The sequence below is a fragment of the Homo sapiens genome, chromosome 2 (assembly GCF_000001405.40).
Source record: "Homo sapiens chromosome 2, GRCh38.p14 Primary Assembly".
NCBI lineage: Eukaryota > Metazoa > Chordata > Mammalia > Primates > Hominidae > Homo > Homo sapiens.
Window position 1 is genome coordinate 206765330 of NC_000002.12, and position 18724 is coordinate 206784053.

The 18724-nt window shown below is 37.7% G+C and overlaps 1 protein-coding gene and 2 non-coding genes across 5 annotated transcripts in view, besides 2 other annotated features; 2 read left to right on the forward strand and 1 right to left on the reverse strand.

Moving 5' to 3' along the window:
• Positions 168-547: an enhancer, noted in NCBI's record as "active region_17028". NCBI's record gives its function as "activates an Ori minimal core promoter by ATAC-STARR-seq in GM12878 lymphoblastoid cells {active_cell/tissue: GM12878}" and the evidence as "EXISTENCE:reporter gene assay evidence [ECO:0000049][PMID:35858748]".
• The window catches only part of FASTKD2 (FAST kinase domains 2), a 30584-nt gene continuing 12136 nt past the window's right edge, over positions 277-18724 (forward strand). Inside the window, exons 1-7 of one of the 3 annotated variants that reach the window (NM_001136194.2) lie at positions 277-433; positions 1315-2141; positions 4762-4865; positions 5853-5961; positions 6565-6688; positions 6852-6991; positions 8896-9068. In NM_001136194.2, coding sequence (NP_001129666.1) covers positions 1365-2141; positions 4762-4865; positions 5853-5961; positions 6565-6688; positions 6852-6991; positions 8896-9068 — 1427 coding nt within the window. In that variant the 5' untranslated portion in view covers positions 277-433; positions 1315-1364. The remainder of the gene's footprint in view (positions 434-1314; positions 2142-4761; positions 4866-5852; positions 5962-6564; positions 6689-6851; positions 6992-8895; positions 9069-18724) is intronic. The other 2 variants (NM_001136193.2, NM_014929.4) reach the window with 2 other exon arrangements.
• Positions 4370-5569: an enhancer, noted in NCBI's record as "CDK7 strongly-dependent group 2 enhancer chr2:207634423-207635622 (GRCh37/hg19 assembly coordinates)". NCBI's record gives its function as "activates an origin of replication core promoter dependent on BRD2, BRD4, P300/CBP, MED14 and CDK7 cofactors, with strong dependence on CDK7, by STARR-seq in HCT116 cells {active_cell/tissue: HCT116}" and the evidence as "EXISTENCE:reporter gene assay evidence [ECO:0000049][PMID:35650434]".
• MIR3130-1 (microRNA 3130-1) lies at positions 17905-17979 on the reverse strand. The gene has a single exon (NR_036077.1). It is a non-coding gene; the product is annotated as a microRNA 3130-1 (primary transcript).
• On the forward strand, positions 17905-17979 carry MIR3130-2 (microRNA 3130-2). Its single transcript, NR_036078.1, has one exon. It is a non-coding gene; the product is annotated as a microRNA 3130-2 (primary transcript).

Genomic DNA, 18724 nt, shown 5'->3' on the forward strand with positions numbered 1-18724 from the left:
GCCAAGGGCAAGGCGCAGGCGCACTACAAAGTCTGGCGCCCAGCAGAGGTTAGGTGTTTAAAGTTAGGACCTGAATGGGTTACGTTGCGATACACGATCAAACATCGCCCTTATAAGCTCTGTGGTATCCCCGAGCCCCACTCCTGTATGCAGGGAAATTAGTCATTCTCCTTGGTAAACTTTCTTCAAGTAAGTCCTTCAGCTACAGCCGCGAACATATGCTTTTTGACCTTTGAGGGAATCCGTAAGATCTCGTGAGAAGCGCAGCTTCTCGGGGAAGCTGTCATGGCTGCTCCTGTACGTAGTCACGGTCTTGTGCTCTAAGGTGAGTGGAGGACGAGCTTGGGCTTAGCGGCAGCCCGTATCACATCCTAGACTTTTTACTTCGAGGAGAAGAGTCTCACGAGTTGTCCTGGAAGTAAGTTTAAAGGAGGTGGGTTAATGCTGGGCGGCCCAGCTGCGGAAGGACAGGCTCTTGAAGTTGGTTCTGGGGTCTGGTGAGGCTGGCTGGTTGTATAAGATCTTCCTCTTAAGCGCAGGCCACGTGCAGACATCGCTTTCGTTTTCTGCTTCTTCCACTGAGCCGTTCTACCTGCCCAGGTCCCTATTCTTGATGGTCTGGGTTCGGCCGTTGCTAAATCGTCATGTTGAAAATGATCTATCAGCCGGGCGCGGTGACTCACGCCTTGGGAGGCCGAGGCGGGTGGATTACCTGAGGTCAGGAGTTCAGGACCAGCCTGGCCAACATGGTGAAACTCCGTCTTTACAAAAAATACAAAAATTAGCCGGGCGTGGTGGCATACGCCTGTAATCCCAGCTACTTGGGAGGCTGAGACAGGAGAATTGCTTGAACCTGGGAGGTGGAGGTTGCAGTGAGCCAAGATCGCGCCACTGCACTCTAGCCTGGGGGACATAGCAAGACTTTGTCTCAAAAAAAAAAAAAAAAAAAAAAAAAACAGAGAAGAGAAAAGAAAATGATCTATCAATGCTAATCCCCTAATTTTCACCGAGGACATTTCCATAACAATGCCAACAAAAGTCTCTCCTACAGAGAAAGCTTTATGGAACGCTTTTGCACCAGAAAAATCTCATTAATACAATGACTACTTCCAAAGTGACCTGGCTTCTTTGAAACTGGACACATTGTGGTAGATTGGAGGGAGCCCACATTGGTAAAAAAAACTTTTACTGTTTTATGTAAATGTTTAATGGCTCCATAGGTTCCCCATTTTCTCTTCTGTTAAATGCATTTCATTTCTTTAAGTAAAAGTTTTGTTTTAATTTTTATTCTTTTCATTACTTCTTCCCCTACAGGAAAACGACAGCACGTGTTCTTTTTCACTAGTAGAAGTGACGTTGGTTTCATGTTGACAACTTTGAAGCCATTTGGAAGTGTTTCAGTGGAGAGCAAAATGAATAACAAAGCGGGCTCCTTTTTCTGGAACCTTAGACAATTCAGTACATTAGTTTCAACAAGCAGAACTATGAGGCTATGTTGTTTGGGACTTTGCAAACCAAAAATAGTTCATTCAAACTGGAACATTTTAAATAACTTTCATAACAGAATGCAATCAACTGATATCATTAGATATCTCTTTCAGGATGCATTCATTTTTAAATCAGATGTTGGCTTTCAAACAAAGGGCATAAGCACTCTAACAGCCCTTAGAATTGAAAGACTACTTTATGCTAAAAGACTGTTTTTTGACTCAAAGCAGTCTCTTGTCCCTGTTGATAAATCTGATGATGAATTGAAGAAAGTAAACCTTAATCATGAAGTCTCCAATGAAGATGTTCTTACCAAGGAAACAAAACCAAACCGTATCAGCAGTAGAAAACTGTCTGAGGAATGTAATTCCCTGAGTGATGTGTTAGATGCATTTTCAAAAGCGCCCACATTTCCTAGTAGCAACTATTTCACAGCAATGTGGACAATTGCCAAAAGACTGTCTGATGACCAGAAGCGCTTTGAAAAACGACTGATGTTTAGCCACCCTGCATTTAATCAGCTCTGTGAACATATGATGAGAGAAGCCAAGATCATGCAGTATAAGTACCTACTGTTCAGTCTTCACGCCATAGTGAAGCTTGGAATCCCTCAGAACACTATTTTGGTGCAGACTTTGCTGAGGGTGACCCAGGTAAAATAAAAAGGAGATTTAAACATGCATTTACTTGATTTAGAATATTTTGAAAGAATGAAGGGATATAGATATGTAGCCTTCTTAAAAGAGACTATCAAATGGAATGGTAGTTTCCTTTATATTTATTTCTGCATATATATTATATGATTTAGAGGCCTTAAGTTAGCTATTTTCTTCCTTTTGCTATGGAAATTTATGAAAGCCTTCCACATTTACCATCCCCAGGGTTGAGTAGTGGTGAAGAAGCTAAAGTGAGGAGAGATGCAAGATATACAAAGAAAGCCTGGGTAGTTGAAGAAGGAGAGAAGGGAAGGGGAAGGAAGAGAATTTAGTCCATGGTAGAATTGGAATTCAGGCCCAGTAGATGATACCTAAACTGATGAGCAGAATGATAGTGAAGGGGATGGTGTTTCAAGTAGAGAGGATTGCATGCCCTACTGTTCCCAGAGGAAAAGTTTGGCAAATTTGAAGAGCTGAAAGTAGTTTGGTGTAGCTGAAGCACAGAATGATGGAGTTGTATGTTTGAGTGGGTGGGAACAAGTTTTGTACATGGCGATCAAAGGAGAGGAGTGAGGGGCAAGAGGCTTAGGGGCAGAACAAGAGGCCAGAAAAATAGGAACCAAATCATAAAGAGCCTCTTACGGCTAGCTAAGGAGTATGCATTTATCCTGTAGGCAATGGGAATCCGTTGAAGAATTTTAAGCAATGGGTTGACGTGCTCAAATTTGTATTTTAGATCACTGAATGAGTGGAAGATGTATTGGAAGAAGGTTAAAATTGGATGGAGGGAGCCATTTTTAGTCTAAAGCAAGAATGTCAGTGTCCTGTTTAATGTCACTGAAATGGTGCCAAATGTAAGGAAGGAAGGATTAGCTTGTTAATCATTTATGTTTTAAGAGTGTACACTTCTGACGTATAAACTCAGTGATAATGAAGTAATTTCTTAGCCAGGTGTGGTGGCTCACACCTGTAATCCCAGCACTTTGGGAGGCCAAGGCAGGAGGATCTCTTGAGCCCAGGAGTTTGCGACCAGCCTGGGCAACAAAGGGAGACTCCATCTCTACAAAAAATACAAAAATTAGCTGGGTGTGATGTACTTGCCTGTGGTCCCAGCTACTTGGGAGGCTGAGGTGGGAATATCACTTGAGCCTGGGAGGTCGAAGCTGCCGTGAGCCATGATCGTGCCACTGCACTCCAGCCTGGGTGACAGAGCCAGACCCTGTCTGAAAATAATAATAATAATTTTTTAAAAGACAGGAATTCCTTGGGGATAATCTGGCATATATCCTGTCTTGCTATAGAATTCAATAATTGGGTTCATAGCTATGGGAAAGTTTTTAACTTTTTACATTACTGTGATTTCCATATGTCCTTAAGGAATAACTAATTTTTATTTAGTGTATGTGTGTGTATTTGTTTAAACCACAGAATATCCCTGTTTATTTGTAGGCTGTGTATTAGTTCCTATGTAGTTATTTAAAAGTGACTAATAAATCACCTTACCTGGTCAGTGATGCTCTTACTAGATTTTGGACAGATATTTGCATCGGGATGACATCTGTGTTGGTGAGGTATGAGTAGTAGATTTTTGTAGTCAAAACATCTGTATGGATGATGGTGTCTCACTGACCTGTTGGAATAATGTAAAGACATTTTAGAGGTGAAAGGACAGTGTGCCATCAATGAATTTGCCCTTCAAACACATAGACAAGTGGTCTTTTCTTTCATAGTAGATATGGATGGAATGCTGTAAAATTGTTAAGGAAACCCTTTCATAGGAAAGAAACCTTTTTTTTCTTCTAACCATAACCATTTCTTATTATTACCTGGTTCTGACTTAAGACTTTGTGATTCATTGGTTATGTAATTTTAGCAAAAGAGCTTCTCTCTCTTCAGGCTAAGTTTCCTCAGATGTGATTTTTTGTGAGGTTTATAGACTAGTGATTAAACTGTAGAGTACTGCTAGTTAAGCTGTGTTGTTACTATTCACTTTCCAGATTATGCCCACTATTTCTGGAATCAAACTTAGTACCCTAAGTAAAGGGACCTGAAAGAAGAATCTGTGGGGTGTAGGCTTCCCTTGAGACCCAGATAGCAGTGGTAGAATGTGGCAGGAGATGTGAATCAGAAGACTCACAAGTAAAGTTTCAGCTTGATACCCAGGAAAGGATCTAGGGAAATTGTAAAGGCACAACCATTTAAGGATCTTTAGAGATGGGCTAGTTACCTTCTGTACTTCAGTAGTTCTTATATTCCTGCACTTTAACTGTTTTTGCCTTTGTAATGACCTTGAATTCCAAGAAGAGGTAAAAATAATGTTTAATAAAAGTTGTTTCAGAAGCAGTGGAATATAATAAATATCAAATGTGTTTTCAGTGATAATGGTGAAGGTAAAAAAGTGTTGATGCATAAAAGGATGTGTATCAGTCAGCTGGAAAATTCAGTAAGTATGACTTTTTATTTCCCAAAGATGCTGTTTATTGTGGACTGACTGTAGGAATTGTTGGTTTGATACTCAATCGTTTTATTCAGTACATCAGTTCAGTGGTTTTGCTTGGGTAAGATAGTTTACTATGGGCTCATCACCTGTAGTGTTTTTGTAATTATATTTCAATAGGAACGTATCAATGAGTGTGATGAGATATGCCTTTCAGTTTTGTCAACTGTTTTAGAGGCAATGGAACCATGCAAGAATGTTCATGTTCTACGAACGGGATTCAGGTGAGAACTCTCTTATGCTTTCTTCATGTGGTTTTCTTTGTTCCTCATATATCTGGAATAAAAAAATTGAGATGAAAACTAAACTCCTTTCTTGAGGGGAGGAGGGGTTGGGGAGGCTTTGTTGGTAGTTACAGTCTTTCATACCTTATTAAGCTTAAAATCCTGACTCTGGATGACATAGGCTGGAAATACTTCTCTTAGGGTCCATAATAACAAAGATGTGAGTAACATTGAAATCTAAATTAATTTATTTTAAAACATAGTACTGGCCAGGCGCAGTGACTCATGCCTGTAATCCCAGCACTTTGGGAGGCCGAGGCAGGCGGATCACGAGGTCGGGAGATCGAGACCATGGTGAAAGCCCGTCTCTACTAAAAATACAAAAATTAGCCGGGTGTGGTGGTGGGTGCCTGTAGTCCCAGCTGCTTGGGAGGCTGAGGCAGGAGAATGGCGTGAACCCAGGAGGCAGAGCTTGCAGTGAGCTGAGATCGCGCCACTGCACTCCAGCCTGGGCAACAGAGCGAGACTCTGTCTCAAAAAAAAAAAAAAAAAATAGTACTGATGCGGGGTAGGAGAGAATTGATATGTATATTTAATTCAGAATAGTTATTCGGGGACTATGTGAGGGTTGACGTTGACCCAGCTTGAAAAGGGATTTATAAAATTGATATAAATGATCTAATGTCATAGATTAGTGAGAGTAAAACTTAACTCCCTTTGACATTGACTATGCATAGGATATGTTACTATAATCTCCTGACATAATTTGTTCTTTAGTAAAGACAGCACAATAATGTGAGAGAAAATAGCACTATTAATAGATTGGGTCTCGATCTTTAACTACTTACACTCTCTCAAGCAGGTAGATCATTTCTCTGGGCTTCATAATCCTTGCCTGTAAGAAGGGGCTGGACCAAATGAAATTTTAAGATTTTTCTTCTGCTTTGAAGATTCTATGATTTTAATATTTATTGTGTTTGATAACAGAATACTAGTTGATCAGCAAGTTTGGAAAATAGAAGATGTCTTCACATTACAAGTTGTGATGAAGTGTATTGGAAAAGATGCACCGATTGCTCTTAAGAGGAAACTGGAGGTAAACACATGAATTTTCTCTAGTGGATGAGATTTGAAAAAATCTTTCTTATAACCTGCTATCACTGCCTGAAGTCAATTTTCTAGGAGGACATTGCTGGGCTTTTAGGTTTAGCTTCACTAAAGTGAATGAATAGAAGTACCCTTATATTTATTTATCTGTATATATATACATGTATATTTATTTATCTGTCTGGGTCATATTACCCAAACTTCATCCTTTTTGTTTAAAAATAAATGTTTAGGCCAGACATGGTGGCTCACACCTGTAATCCCAGCACTTTGGGATGTCAAGGGCAGGGAGATCTCTTGATCCCAGGAGTTTGAGACCAGCCTGGGTGACTGAGCAAGACCCTGTCTCTGCAAAAAAAAAAAAAAAAAAAAAAAAAATCAAAGAATTAGCCAGGCGTGGTGGTACATGCCTGTAGGTGGTGCATGCCTGTAATCCCAGCTACATGGGCGGCTGAGGCAGGAGGATCACTTGAGCCTGGGAGGTTGAGGCTCCAACCTGGGTGACAGCACAAGACCCTGTCTCAATAAAAATAAAAGTTTAATTTATTTTGTCACAGATAGTAAATTAAATTAAAATTTGTTTTTTCTTTAGATGAAAGCCTTGAGGGAATTAGACAGATTTTCTGTTTTGAATAGCCAACACATGTTTGAAGTACTAGCTGCCATGAATCACCGATCTCTTATACTCCTGGATGAATGCAGTAAGGTGGTCCTAGGTAAGAGGAATTTTTCTTTCATCATTTGCAATACCTGAGCTTCTGTTTTAGACTATTTTTGTTTTGTTTTAAAAACTTTGCTTTTATATGAAAAAAGAATAAAGCATGTTGTATTCAAAACAATCAGGTAATTTTTGTTTGTTTATTTAACTCATTCTTCAAGATAATATCCATGGGTGTCCTTTAAGAATAATGATCAACATATTGCAGTCCTGCAAAGACCTCCAGTACCATAATTTGGATCTCTTCAAGGGACTTGCAGATTATGTGGCTGCAACTTTCGACATCTGGAAGTTCAGAAAAGTGAGTACATTAACAATTTAGAATAAGCCTCACAAACTTTTAAAACACTAATTCATGTAGCATTTTAAGTATTTCTCTTTCACCTTTATAGTAGTTAAGATACCAAAATATTCCAATGCTGAATTGACTTTTGAAAAATTAGCTCCTTATTATTCCTGTCTGGGGGCTACTTGCTAATATGAATAGTCCCCAACTTAGGATGGCTTGACTTAATATTTTTTGACTGTTTGATGTTGCAAAAGCAATACGCATTCAGTAGAAACCATACTTTGAATTTTGAATTTTGTTGTTTTGCTGGGTTAGTGATATGTTGTATGATGCTCTCTTTTCATGCTGAGCAGTGGCAGCAAGTCGCAGCTCCCAATCAGCTGTGCAATCATGAGGGTAAACAATGCATATTGTATTCAATAAATTACTTGAGATATTCAACACTTTTATTATAATATAGGCTTTTTGTTAACTCATTTTGCCCAACTATAGGTGAATGTAAGTGTTCTAAGCGTGTTTAAAGTAGGCTAGGCTAAGCTATGATGTTCAGTAAGTTGGATGTATTAAATGCATTTTGACTTAAAATATTTTCAATTTATGGTGAGTTTGTTGGGATATACCCCACCGTAAGTCAAGGACAATCTGTATACTATTCTATCCTTTGGTCATCTTTCTATTTGAAACAAAAATTTGCTCTTCTTTTTCGTTTTAAAAGGGTTGTATGGGCTGGGCGCGGTGGCTCACGCCTGTAATCCCAGCACTTTGGGAGGCCAAGGTGGGTGGATCACCTGAGGTCAGGAGTTCAAGACCAGCCTGGCCAACATGGTGAAACCCCATCTCTACTAAAAATACAAAAAGTAGCCGGGCATGGTGACGTGTCCCTGTAATCCCAGCTACTAGGGGGGCTGAGGCAGGAGGACCACTTGAACCTGGGAGGTGGAGGTTGCAGTAAGCTGAGATTGTGCCACTGTACTCCAGCCTGGGCAATAAAGATCAAAACTCTGTCTCAAAAAAAAAAAAAAAAAAAAAGGGTTGTATGGTACTTTTGTTAGATATTTAGCATGATTTCCGTGTTTATACTTTGTTCTTGTTAGATTTCAAATAATAAAGATGGGTGATGTGACAGGCTTGGGGTTTTTGAAGAATAAAATGTCACTACTTAATGGTCATGTCCATTGTTTTATCCAGAGTAAAAGCCTTTAAAATCAGGAGCTGTGTTAAGAATATAAACATTTAATGAAGCACCTGGTAAAAACTTCTTTTTGCAATGAAATAGGTGATAACTGTTAGATCTCTAGGTTCAGTTTATTTTGGAGAGTAAGGTAAATATTGAGTTTACTGTGGAAATTGGTTATAGAAAGAGAAGTAATAATCCTAAGTAAGAAAGATTGAGAAGGAAATTGGAGGTGAACTTGAAAGTTTATTTTAATCATAATGTTTCAGTTCCATTTTCACTTATAGGTATGAATATTAAATATAGAAATTTTGGGGTTATGTCTTACATGTTAGAATCTAGGAAGTATTTAAGTTTGGGAATGCGAGAAGTTCAAGATTGAGTTGGTCATTTTGAAAACCTTCAGAAAAGGCATATTTAAAAGTAATTTTCAGATATGTTGTATGAAAAGCATGTAGGAAGAGATTTATTTTTAAATCAGATGGAAACGTAGAAATCATTGTATGCCCTGGTTCTCAGCTTAAAAAAGATTGCTTATTAACTTGATACCCAATTCAAGAATTAATAGAACAGATTTTGTGAGAGAAAGATGATTGTTCCTTTTCATGGAAATATTCTGTTTCAGGATATATTCTGTTGATCAGGACAGTTGAATTGCTGCTTAGATTTTTTGAGATCTAAAAAATTACTATTAGCATACTGTAATTATTATAGAGTTTTCCCTCAATTTTCTCTTTTTAAGGTTCTTTTTATCCTCATTTTATTTGAAAACCTTGGCTTTCGACCTGTTGGTTTAATGGACCTGTTTATGAAGAGAATAGTAGAGGATCCTGAATCCCTAAACATGAAAAACATTCTATCTATTCTTCATACTTACTCTTCTCTCAATCATGTCTACAAATGCCAGAACAAAGAGTATGTACTTGTTTTTTTTTACCTTTTTTATTGCCATATAACTTACAAAAAAGGTTATAAATCATAAGCTTAATGAATTATTACAAGTGAACACACCCATAGTCATCATCCATGCCAATAAATAAAACATAGTGTTCCTTACTCATTTATAAGGTTAAACAAAATTTTGTTTTATATTTGCTGCCCTTTGTCTTGTTTGTTTCTTTGTTCTTTATAATGTATTAGTTAATTCATTATAGGAGTTTGATTTCAAACCCTCCCAGCTTATCCTCGTAGCTCCTAAGTTCATAGTTTATTTTAACTGTATTAAAAAATGGAGAAATCTGTCTTTTAAAAAATTTGACTTTTTTTATTATGGTAAGAACATTTAGTAAATTTTAAAGTGTGCAGTACAATATTGCTGACTTTATTATTAATGATATAGTTAACAATATTGTACAGTGGATCTCTAGGACTTAATCATCTTGCATAACTGAAACTTTATACCTGTTGAATAGCAACTCCCCTATTTCCCCCTTTCCTCACCCCTGACAATCAACATTGTAATCTCTGTTTCTATGACTGACCTTTTTAGATACTTTATATAAGTGGAGTCATGCGGTATTTGTCCTTCTATGACTAGCTTATTTCAGTTAGCATAATGCCCTTCAAGTTGATCCACATTGTAGCATGTGATGAGATTTCCTTCTAAGGCTGAATAATATTCCATTATATGTATATATCACATTTTCTTTATCCATTCATCTGCTGATGGATGTTTAGGTTGTTTCCCTATCTTGGCTATTGCAAACAATGCTGCACTTAACATGGGAGTGCAGATGTCTCTTTGAGATTCTCATTTCAATTCTTATGAATTGAAATATATCCACAAGTGAGATCCCTGGATCATACAGGGATTCTGCTTTTACTAAGGGTTCTACTTTTACCAAATGCCTTTTTTTTTTTTAGCATCAGTTGAAATGATCATATGGTTTTTATCCTTTATTCTGTTGATATGATGTATCATATTGATTGATTTGCATATGTTGAACCATCCTGGCATCCCAGGGATAAATCCTGCTTGGTCATAATGAATAATCTTTCTAATGTATTGTTGAATTTGGTTTGCTAGTATTTTTTTTGAGGATTTTTGCATCAATCTTCATCAGAGATACTGTGCTGTAGTTTTTTTGTTTGTTTTTTGTTTTTTTTGATGTGTCTTTGTCTGATTTTGGTATCAGGGTAATACTGGACTTGTAGAATGAGTTTGGAAGTATTCCCTCCTTCTCTGCTTTTTGGAATAGTTTGAGTAGGATTAGTATTAGTTCTTCCTTAAATGTTTGGTAGAATTCAGCAGTGAAGCAGTTTGGTCCTGGGCTTTTCTTTACTAGGTAGTAGTTCTACTTTTACATTTTTCAAGGAAGCTTCATACTGTTTTCCATGCACCATTTTGTAGTCCTATCAACATTGTGCAAGGGTTCCAATTTCTCCACATCTTCTCCAACACTTGTTAGATTTTGTTTTGTTTTGTTTTTTTGATAATGGCCGTCCTAACAGATGTAAAGTGATATCTCATTGTGGTTTTGATTTGCATTTCCCTGATGATTAGTGATGTTGACCATGTTTTCACATACCTGTTGGCCATTTGTATGTCTTCTTTGGAGAAATATTTAAGTCCTTTGCCTATTTTTAAATCATATTATTATTTTTGCTATTCAGTTACAGTATGTTATAATGTGTAAACATACTACAAATATATATATAATATATATATTATGGGATGCAGAAAAAGCAATCCTGACAAGAAAACTTAAAGCATTAAGTTTTATATAAACTTATAGCAATAAGCATAAATATATGAGTTACAGGAATTCCTTATATATTTTGGATAATAACTGCTTATCATATGTATGGTTTGCAAATATTTTCTCCCATTCTGTAGGTTGCTTTTTCACTTTGTTGACTGTTTCCTTTGCTGTGCAGCTTTTTAGTTTGATATAGTTCTCCTTGTCTGTATTTGCTTTTGTTGCCTGCACTTTTGGTATCATATAAAAAAAATCATTGCCTAACTAAGCCAATGCCATCAGGCTTCTCCTACACATTTTCTTTTAGGAATTTTGTAGTTTTAGGTCTTATGTTTAAATCTTTAATCCATTTTGAGTTGATTTTTGTGTATGTTATAAAATAAGGTTCCAATTTCATTCTTTTGCATGTGGATATCCAGTTTTCCCAACACCTTTTGTTGAAGAGCATATTCTTTTACTATGTGTAGTCTTGGCAGCTTTGTCTTTTTTATGCCAGTACCATACTGTTTTAATTACTGTAGCTTTGTAATATATTTTGAAATCAGGAAGTGTGATACTTCTAGCTCTGTTCTTTTTCAAAATTGCTTTGGCAGTTCAGATTCCTTTGTGGTCCTATATGAATTTTAAGTTTTTTTTCTATTTCTGTAAAAAAATGCCATTGGGATTTTGATAGTGATTGCACTGAATCCGTAGACTGCCTGGGTTAGTATGGACATTTTAACAGGATTAAGTCTTTCAATCCATGAATGCAGACTGTCCTTCCATTTATTTGTGTCTTTAATTTCTTTCATCAATTTCTTTGTAGTTTTCAATATACAAGTCTTTCACTTCCTTAAGTTTATTCCTAAGTATTTTATGCTTTTTGATACTATTATAAACAAGATTGTTTTCCCAATTTCCTTTTTGGATAGTTTGTTATAAGTGTATAGGAACACAGCAGATATTTTTACTGCTTCCTTTCTGATTTGGTTGTTTTTCTTTCTTTTTCTTTCATTTGCATAATTACTCTGGCTAAGATTTCCAGTACCTTGTTGAATAGAAGTGATGAGAGTAGGCATCCTTGTCTTGTTCCTGGTCTTAGAAGAAAATATTTGTTTTTCATCATCGAATATGATGTTAGCTATGGCTTTTCATATATGGTCTTACTTACGGTGAGGCACATTTCTTCTATACCTAATTTGTTGAGAGCCCTTATCATAAAGGTTGTTGAATTTCATCAAATGGTTTTTCTGCATCTAATTAGATGATCATATGATTTTTCTCCTTTATTTTGTTAATGTGGTGTATCTCATTAATTGACTTGCATATACTGAACCGTCTTTGCATCCCAGGGATAAACCCCTTTTTATTCATGGTGTATGATCCTTCTAATGCTAATATTTTGTTGAGGATTTTTACATCTGTGTTCATCAGGGATATTGGCCTGTAGCTTTCTTGTGTCATAATGCATGTGTCTGGCTTTGGTATCAGGGTAATGCTGGCCTCATAAAATGAGTTCTCTGTCTTCAGGTGTTTGGAAAAGTTTAAGCACATTAGAAGTATTGTTAATTCTTCTCACAATGTTTGGTTGACTTCAGCAATGAAGCTATCTAGTCCTGGCCTTTTTCATTGTTGGGAAGTTTTTGATTACTGATTAAATTTCCTTATTCATTATTGGTTTGTTTAGATTTTCTATTTCTTTATGATTCAGTCTTGGTAGGTTGTATTTTTCTAGGAATTTATTCATTTCTTCTTGATTATCCAATTTGTTGGCATACAGTTGTTCATGATAGTCTCTTATGAGCCTTTTTTATTTCTGTGGCATTGGTTTTTATTTCTAGTTATAATGTCTTGTTCGTCTCTTATTTATTTGAATCTTCTTTCTTTTTTTGTCAGTCTAGCTAAAGGTTTGTCAATTTTGTTCATCTTTTCATAAACCCAAGTCTTCGTTTTGTTGGTTTTTTCTACTTCTTATTGTCTATTTTATTTATTTCTGTTCTAATCTTCATTATTTCCTTCTGCTAACTTTGGGCCTAGTTTATTTGTCTTATTTCAGTTCTTTGAGGTGTAAATTTAGGTTTTTTATTTGATAGCTTTCTTTTTTTTTAAGATAGGTGTTTATTGCTATAAGTTTTCTTGTTAGTACTGCTTTTTCTGCATCCCATAATTTTGGGTATGTTGTGTTTTCAATTTTATTTGTCTTGAAATATTTTCTAATTTCCCTTTTGATTTCTTCTTTAACCCATTGGGTGTTCAAGAGTGTGTTGTTTAATTTCCACATATTTGTGAATTTTCTAGTTTTCCCTCTGTTGATTTCTAATTGTATTTCTTTGTGATCCGAAAGGATACTTGGTCTGATTTCAGTTTTCCTAAATCTGTTATGACTTGTTTTGTGACCTAACATATAGTCTGTTCTTGAGAATGATCTATGTGCACTTGAGGAAAATATGTGTTCTGGTGCTATTGGCTGGAATGTTCTGTATGTGTCTGTTATATCCATTTCATCTGTAGCAGGGGACCCCAGCCCCCAGGCCACGGACTGGTACCAGTCCGTGGCCTGTTAGGAACTGGGCCACACAGCAGGAGGTGAGTGGCAGGCGAACATTACTGCCTGAGCTCTGTCAGATCAGCCATGGCATTAGGTTCTCATAGGCGCGTGAACCCTATTGTGAACTGTGCATGTGAAGGCTCTAGGTTGCGTGCTCCTTATGAGAATCTAATGCCTTATGAAACACCCCCCTATGCCCAGTCTGGAAAAATTGTCTTCCATGAAACCAGTGCCAAAAAGCTTGGGGACCACTGATCTATAGTGTTCTTCAAGTCCTTTGTTTTCTTACTGATTTTGGTCTGGATGTTCTATAAATTATTGAAAGTGGGGTTATTGAAGTCTCCTACTGTTATTGTATCATCTGTTTCTCCCTTCAGATCTGTTATATCTTCCTGATGAATTGGCCCTTTTATCATTATGTAATGACCTTGTTTGTCCTTGTGACAATTTTTAACTTAAAGTATATTTTGTCTGATATAAGTATGGCTACCTCTGCTCTCTTTTGGTTACCATTTGCATGGAATGTCTTTATCCGTTTCTTCACTATCAAACTATGTGTATGTCCTTAAATCTAAAGCGAGTATCTTGTAGACAAGTTATAGTTTGGTCTTTTTTTTTAATCCATTCAGCCATTTTGTGTCTTTTAACTGGGGAATGTATTAGTCTATTCTCACGTTGCTATACTACCTAAGACTGTGTAATTTATAAAGAAAAGAGGTTTAATTGACCAACAGTTCCACATGACTGGGGAGGCCTCAGGAGACTTACAATTATGGCGGAAGGCAAAGGGGAAGCAGTCACCTTCACAAGGTAACAGAAGAGAGCAAGAGAAAGGGCGAGGAAGTGCTACACTTTAAGCCATCAGCTCTTGTGAGAACTCCGTCACTATTACGAGAACAGCATGGGGGAAACTGCCCCCATGATCCAATCACCTTCCAACAGGTCTCTCCCTTAATACATGGGGATTAAAATTTGAGATGAGATTTGGGTGGGGATACAGAGCCAAACCATATCAGGGAGTTTAATCCACTTAATGTTTAGAGTAATTATTGATAGAGAAGGACTTACTATTGCCATTTTGTTTTCTGTCTTACAGTTTTTTCTTCTATCTTTTCCTTTCTTGTTATCTTCCTTTGTGACTTGTTGATTCTTTTGTGAGATGTTTCAATTCCTTTCTGTTTTTCTTTGGTGTAGTCTCTAAAGGTGTTTCATTTGTGGTTACCATGGGTCTTACATAAAACATCTTATTGTTTTAACAGTCTATTTTAAGCTGAAAACAACTTAACTTCCATTGCATACAAAAGCTGTACACTTGTCTCCCCATACTTTGTTATTGATGTGACAGTTTACATCTTTTTATATTGTATATCCATTAGCAAATTTTTATAGTTACAGTTATTCTTGATAGTTTTTTTAACATTTATACTAGAACTAAAGCACACCACTATTACAGTATTACCATATCCTATATTTGTTTATGTATTTGCCTTTACTAGTGAGTTTTATACTTTCCTGTGTTTTCACATTGATGTTTTGTGTTTTTTCATTTCACCTGTCTTTAGCGTTTAGTTTAAGAAAAGACTAGTAATGACAGTTTTCCTTGGCTTTCGTTTGTTTGGGAGTCTTGATCTACATTTTTGAAGGACGGTTTTGCCAAGTATAGGATTATTGGTTGGCAATTTTTCTTTCAGCACTTTGAATACATTATCCCAGTCCCTTCTCTGGCCTGCAAAGTTTCTGCTAAGAAGTTCACTGCTAGTCTGATGGGGGCTCCCTTGTACATGAAAAGTTGCTTTTCATCCTTGTGGGAGATACGAGTTGCTTTTAAAGTTCTTTTTGTTTTTGAATTTTGACAGTTTGATTACAATGTATCTTAATGTATGTTTCTTTGGATTAATCTTATTTGGGGTCCTTTGAGCTTTATGAATCTGGATGTCCATTACTCTTTCTAGATTTGTGAAGTTTTCAGCCACTATTTCCTTAAATAAGCTTTCAGCTCCTTTTTTTCTTCTCCCGAGACACCCATAATGCACACATTGGTTTGCTTGTTGGTGTACTGTAAGTGTCTTAGGCTTTCTTAACTCTTCTTCTTTCTTTGTTCTTTTTTCTTTTTGGACTGGGTAATTTCACATGACCTGCTTCAAATTCTCCGATTCTCTTTTGCTTGCTGAAATATGCTGGTATGGCCCTCTAGTCAATTTTTCAGTTCAGTTATTATATTCTTTAGCTCCAGAATTGCTGTTTAGTTCTTTCTATAGTTTATCAATTCTTTGTTGATACTCTTATTTTGCTCATATATCATTTTCCTAATTTCATTTACTTTTCTGTGTTCTTATAAGACAATTATTTTTAGTTCTTTGTTGGGCAGTTCATAGATCTTCATCTCTTTAATGTTGATTACTGGACATTTATTTTGGTACTTTGATTGTGTTACATTTCCCTGATGCTCTTTCTTCCTTGTAGCTTTGCATTGGTGTCTGCACAATTAAAGAAACAGTCTCCTCTCCCTGTTTTTACAGACTGGCTTTGACAGGGAAAGACTCTTATTAATCAGCTTAGCCAGAGATTCTGGGGGCCTCTTAAACTTTTTCTATGATTTTTTTTTTTTTTTTTTTTTTTTTTTGAGACAGAGTTTTGATCTTTGTTGCCCAGGCTGGAGTGCAGTGGCACGATCTCGGCTTACTGCAACCTCTGCCTCCCAGGTTCAAGCGATTCTCCTGTCTCAGCCTCCCAAGTAGGTGGGATTACAGGCACCTGCCACCACGCCTGGCTAATTTTTGTAGTTTTGGTAGAGACGGGGTTTCACCATTTTGGCCAGGCTGGTCTACAACTCCTGACCTCAGGTGATCCACCCACCTTGGCCTCCCAAAGTGCTGGGATTACAGGCATGAGCCACCATGCCTGGCCTGAATGTGTTTATGGATTTCTAAGTAGAGGGATTTACTGGTTTCTTTTTTTTAATTTCTTTTTTTTTTTTTTTTTCCAGTATCAGGGAATGTCTTGCTCCCTCTGGTGTCTGACTGCTGTACTACAGTCGGGGACATAGATGCTCCTCTCCTTTCTCTCCTTCGCTGTAGAGAAGCCTTGAGTTGTGCTGTCTGCTGCAAGCCACTGACCCCTTTTTTTCCTACTTAACTGCTCCTGAGCATTCAAACTATGCTGGTTTCGTCCGCTCTCCTTGTGAGGTGAGATAGAAACCAGCTCCTTGGACAGCTCACCAAAAGGCTAGGATGTTGAAGACATGCTCCACTCCTCTCATTTCCTCCTGAGGCTGAATCCTCGGGTTGCGTACCTTCTCTCAATCTCTCAGAGCTGTGCTGAGTGCAGGAAGCTGTCCACCCCTTTTCCTTTGTTCTTAACTGCTCTCAGGCATCTGAACCCTGCTGGTTTTGTTAGTATTCCACGTGAGTTTAGACAGAAATCCAGCCCCTAGGGCAGCACAGTGAAAAGCCGGATGTTGGTTGCACACTCTACTCTCTCCCTCCAAGGGAGAAGTCCTAGGCCAAGGTGATCTCCTTGGTGCTGAGCTGTGCCGGCTTTGGGGAGGGGCTGACCTGGGTAAAATGTTCTTCTTGCCTGTTTCAGTGCAACTCTTCTTGGTTTTGTTCTTGTCTGGAGTACGACAATATCTTAATTGGTTTCTGGACTTTTCATAAAGGTATTTTTGTCTATATGTCCTTGCTAAATCAGTGTTTCTGAGAAGCTGTGAGAACTGGACCTTCTTCTAGTTCAGTTTTGACCTTAACTATTCATTTGGTCTCAAGCTACTGCTTTCTATTCTTTTCATTTTAACCACAGCCATGCATTCCTACTATTAAATACAGTAATTCCTCAAATGTGCCAGCTTCTTTCATACCTCTGCTTTCTACCCAGAACATCTTTTCTTACTCTTTGGATCAGTCAGGGTTCATTAAAAATCAGAAAAGCATATAAAATGTCATTTGTTAAAACAGTGATTAAAAGCATGGACTCTAGAGCTAGCTTGCTTAGGTTTGAGTTTCAGCATTGCCATTTGTTAGCTGCTTGACTTTTGGCAAATTACTTATCTGTGCCTCAGTTTATTCACTTATTAAAATGGAGATGAGCTATGTCTAATCTCATTGGGTTGTTATTAGAATTAAATGAGTTAATCTATGTCAAGTTCTTATGACAATGCCCAGCACATAGTAATTTTTAGATTTGAAAAAAATTAGAGTGTAGGTCACAGAGGCCTTGGGGGAACAAACTAGGGCAGTTGTGAAGGTCTCAGTGGCAAGATGCACAGGCCATCTGTTTGCCATCAAATGACTTGACTCCAGCTGCTTGCTTTCCTTTTAGTTTTCCCTCCAGATTTAGATTTCTGAAAGAGAACATCTGATTGACTGAGTTTGAGTCAAATGCCCATCCCTTAGGGGCAGTTAATCAATTAAGTGGTGTCAGGCCAACTAAAAAGCAGCTTCCCACTGTACTGTCCACTGAATGGACAGACTCAGCTCATACTGCATTTCCTGTGTCTTCCCTAATTGTCACCGTCAGAGTCCCTGTGCTTGTCATGTCTTACCCAGTCTCCGGTGCAGCCTTGACAACAGGCTGCACCGGAGACTGGGTAAGACATGACAAGTTGTGTCACATCATTTGTTGTGTCAGTAAGTCTGTCTCTGCTCCTCAGTTGGTAAGCTCTCCGGAGTCCGACCCAGCTGCCTGTTTTTCTGAACTTAGTACAGGACCTGCCAAAGAGTAGACATTTAATAAAGGTCGAAAAATATCTCCCAAATTCAATCTTCCTTTACTCCCCTGGCTTCATTTTCTTCTGAGGCTGGCTCCCATTGATGCCTTGTACTTTCTAGACAAATAATATCAAGCTAAGTGGTAATTAAAACTCCAGAAACAGCCCCAGAGGGATTAAGAGAGTAAGTACTGGGCGGGTAAGAGTTTTTCAGGTGACTCCAGGCAACCTGAGAGATAACTTGTTCCAACAAAATTGTTACATTGAAAATAGAGGGGGGATAACAAAGGTAACAAAGGCTGGGAGGACATTTAATAAAATGGCAGTAGTAGAATTAGTACAGGAGGAGAATCATGAATGTTGTCTTTTTGTCTGTCTATTCTGCTTTCATTTAACCTAGTGGTTTTCAAACAGGGATGATTTTGCCTCCCAGGGGACATTTGGCAAGGTATGGAGATGGTTTTTAGTTGCCACAACAGGAGGGAGGTCTGTGCTACTGGCCTCTAGTGGACAGAGGCCAGGGGTGCCGCTAACATCCTACTATGCAGAAGATAGCCCCTCACAATAAGGAATTATCCAGCCCCGGATGTTAGTAGTGCTGAGATTGAGAAACCCTTACCTAATTCTAAGCCTCCCACCT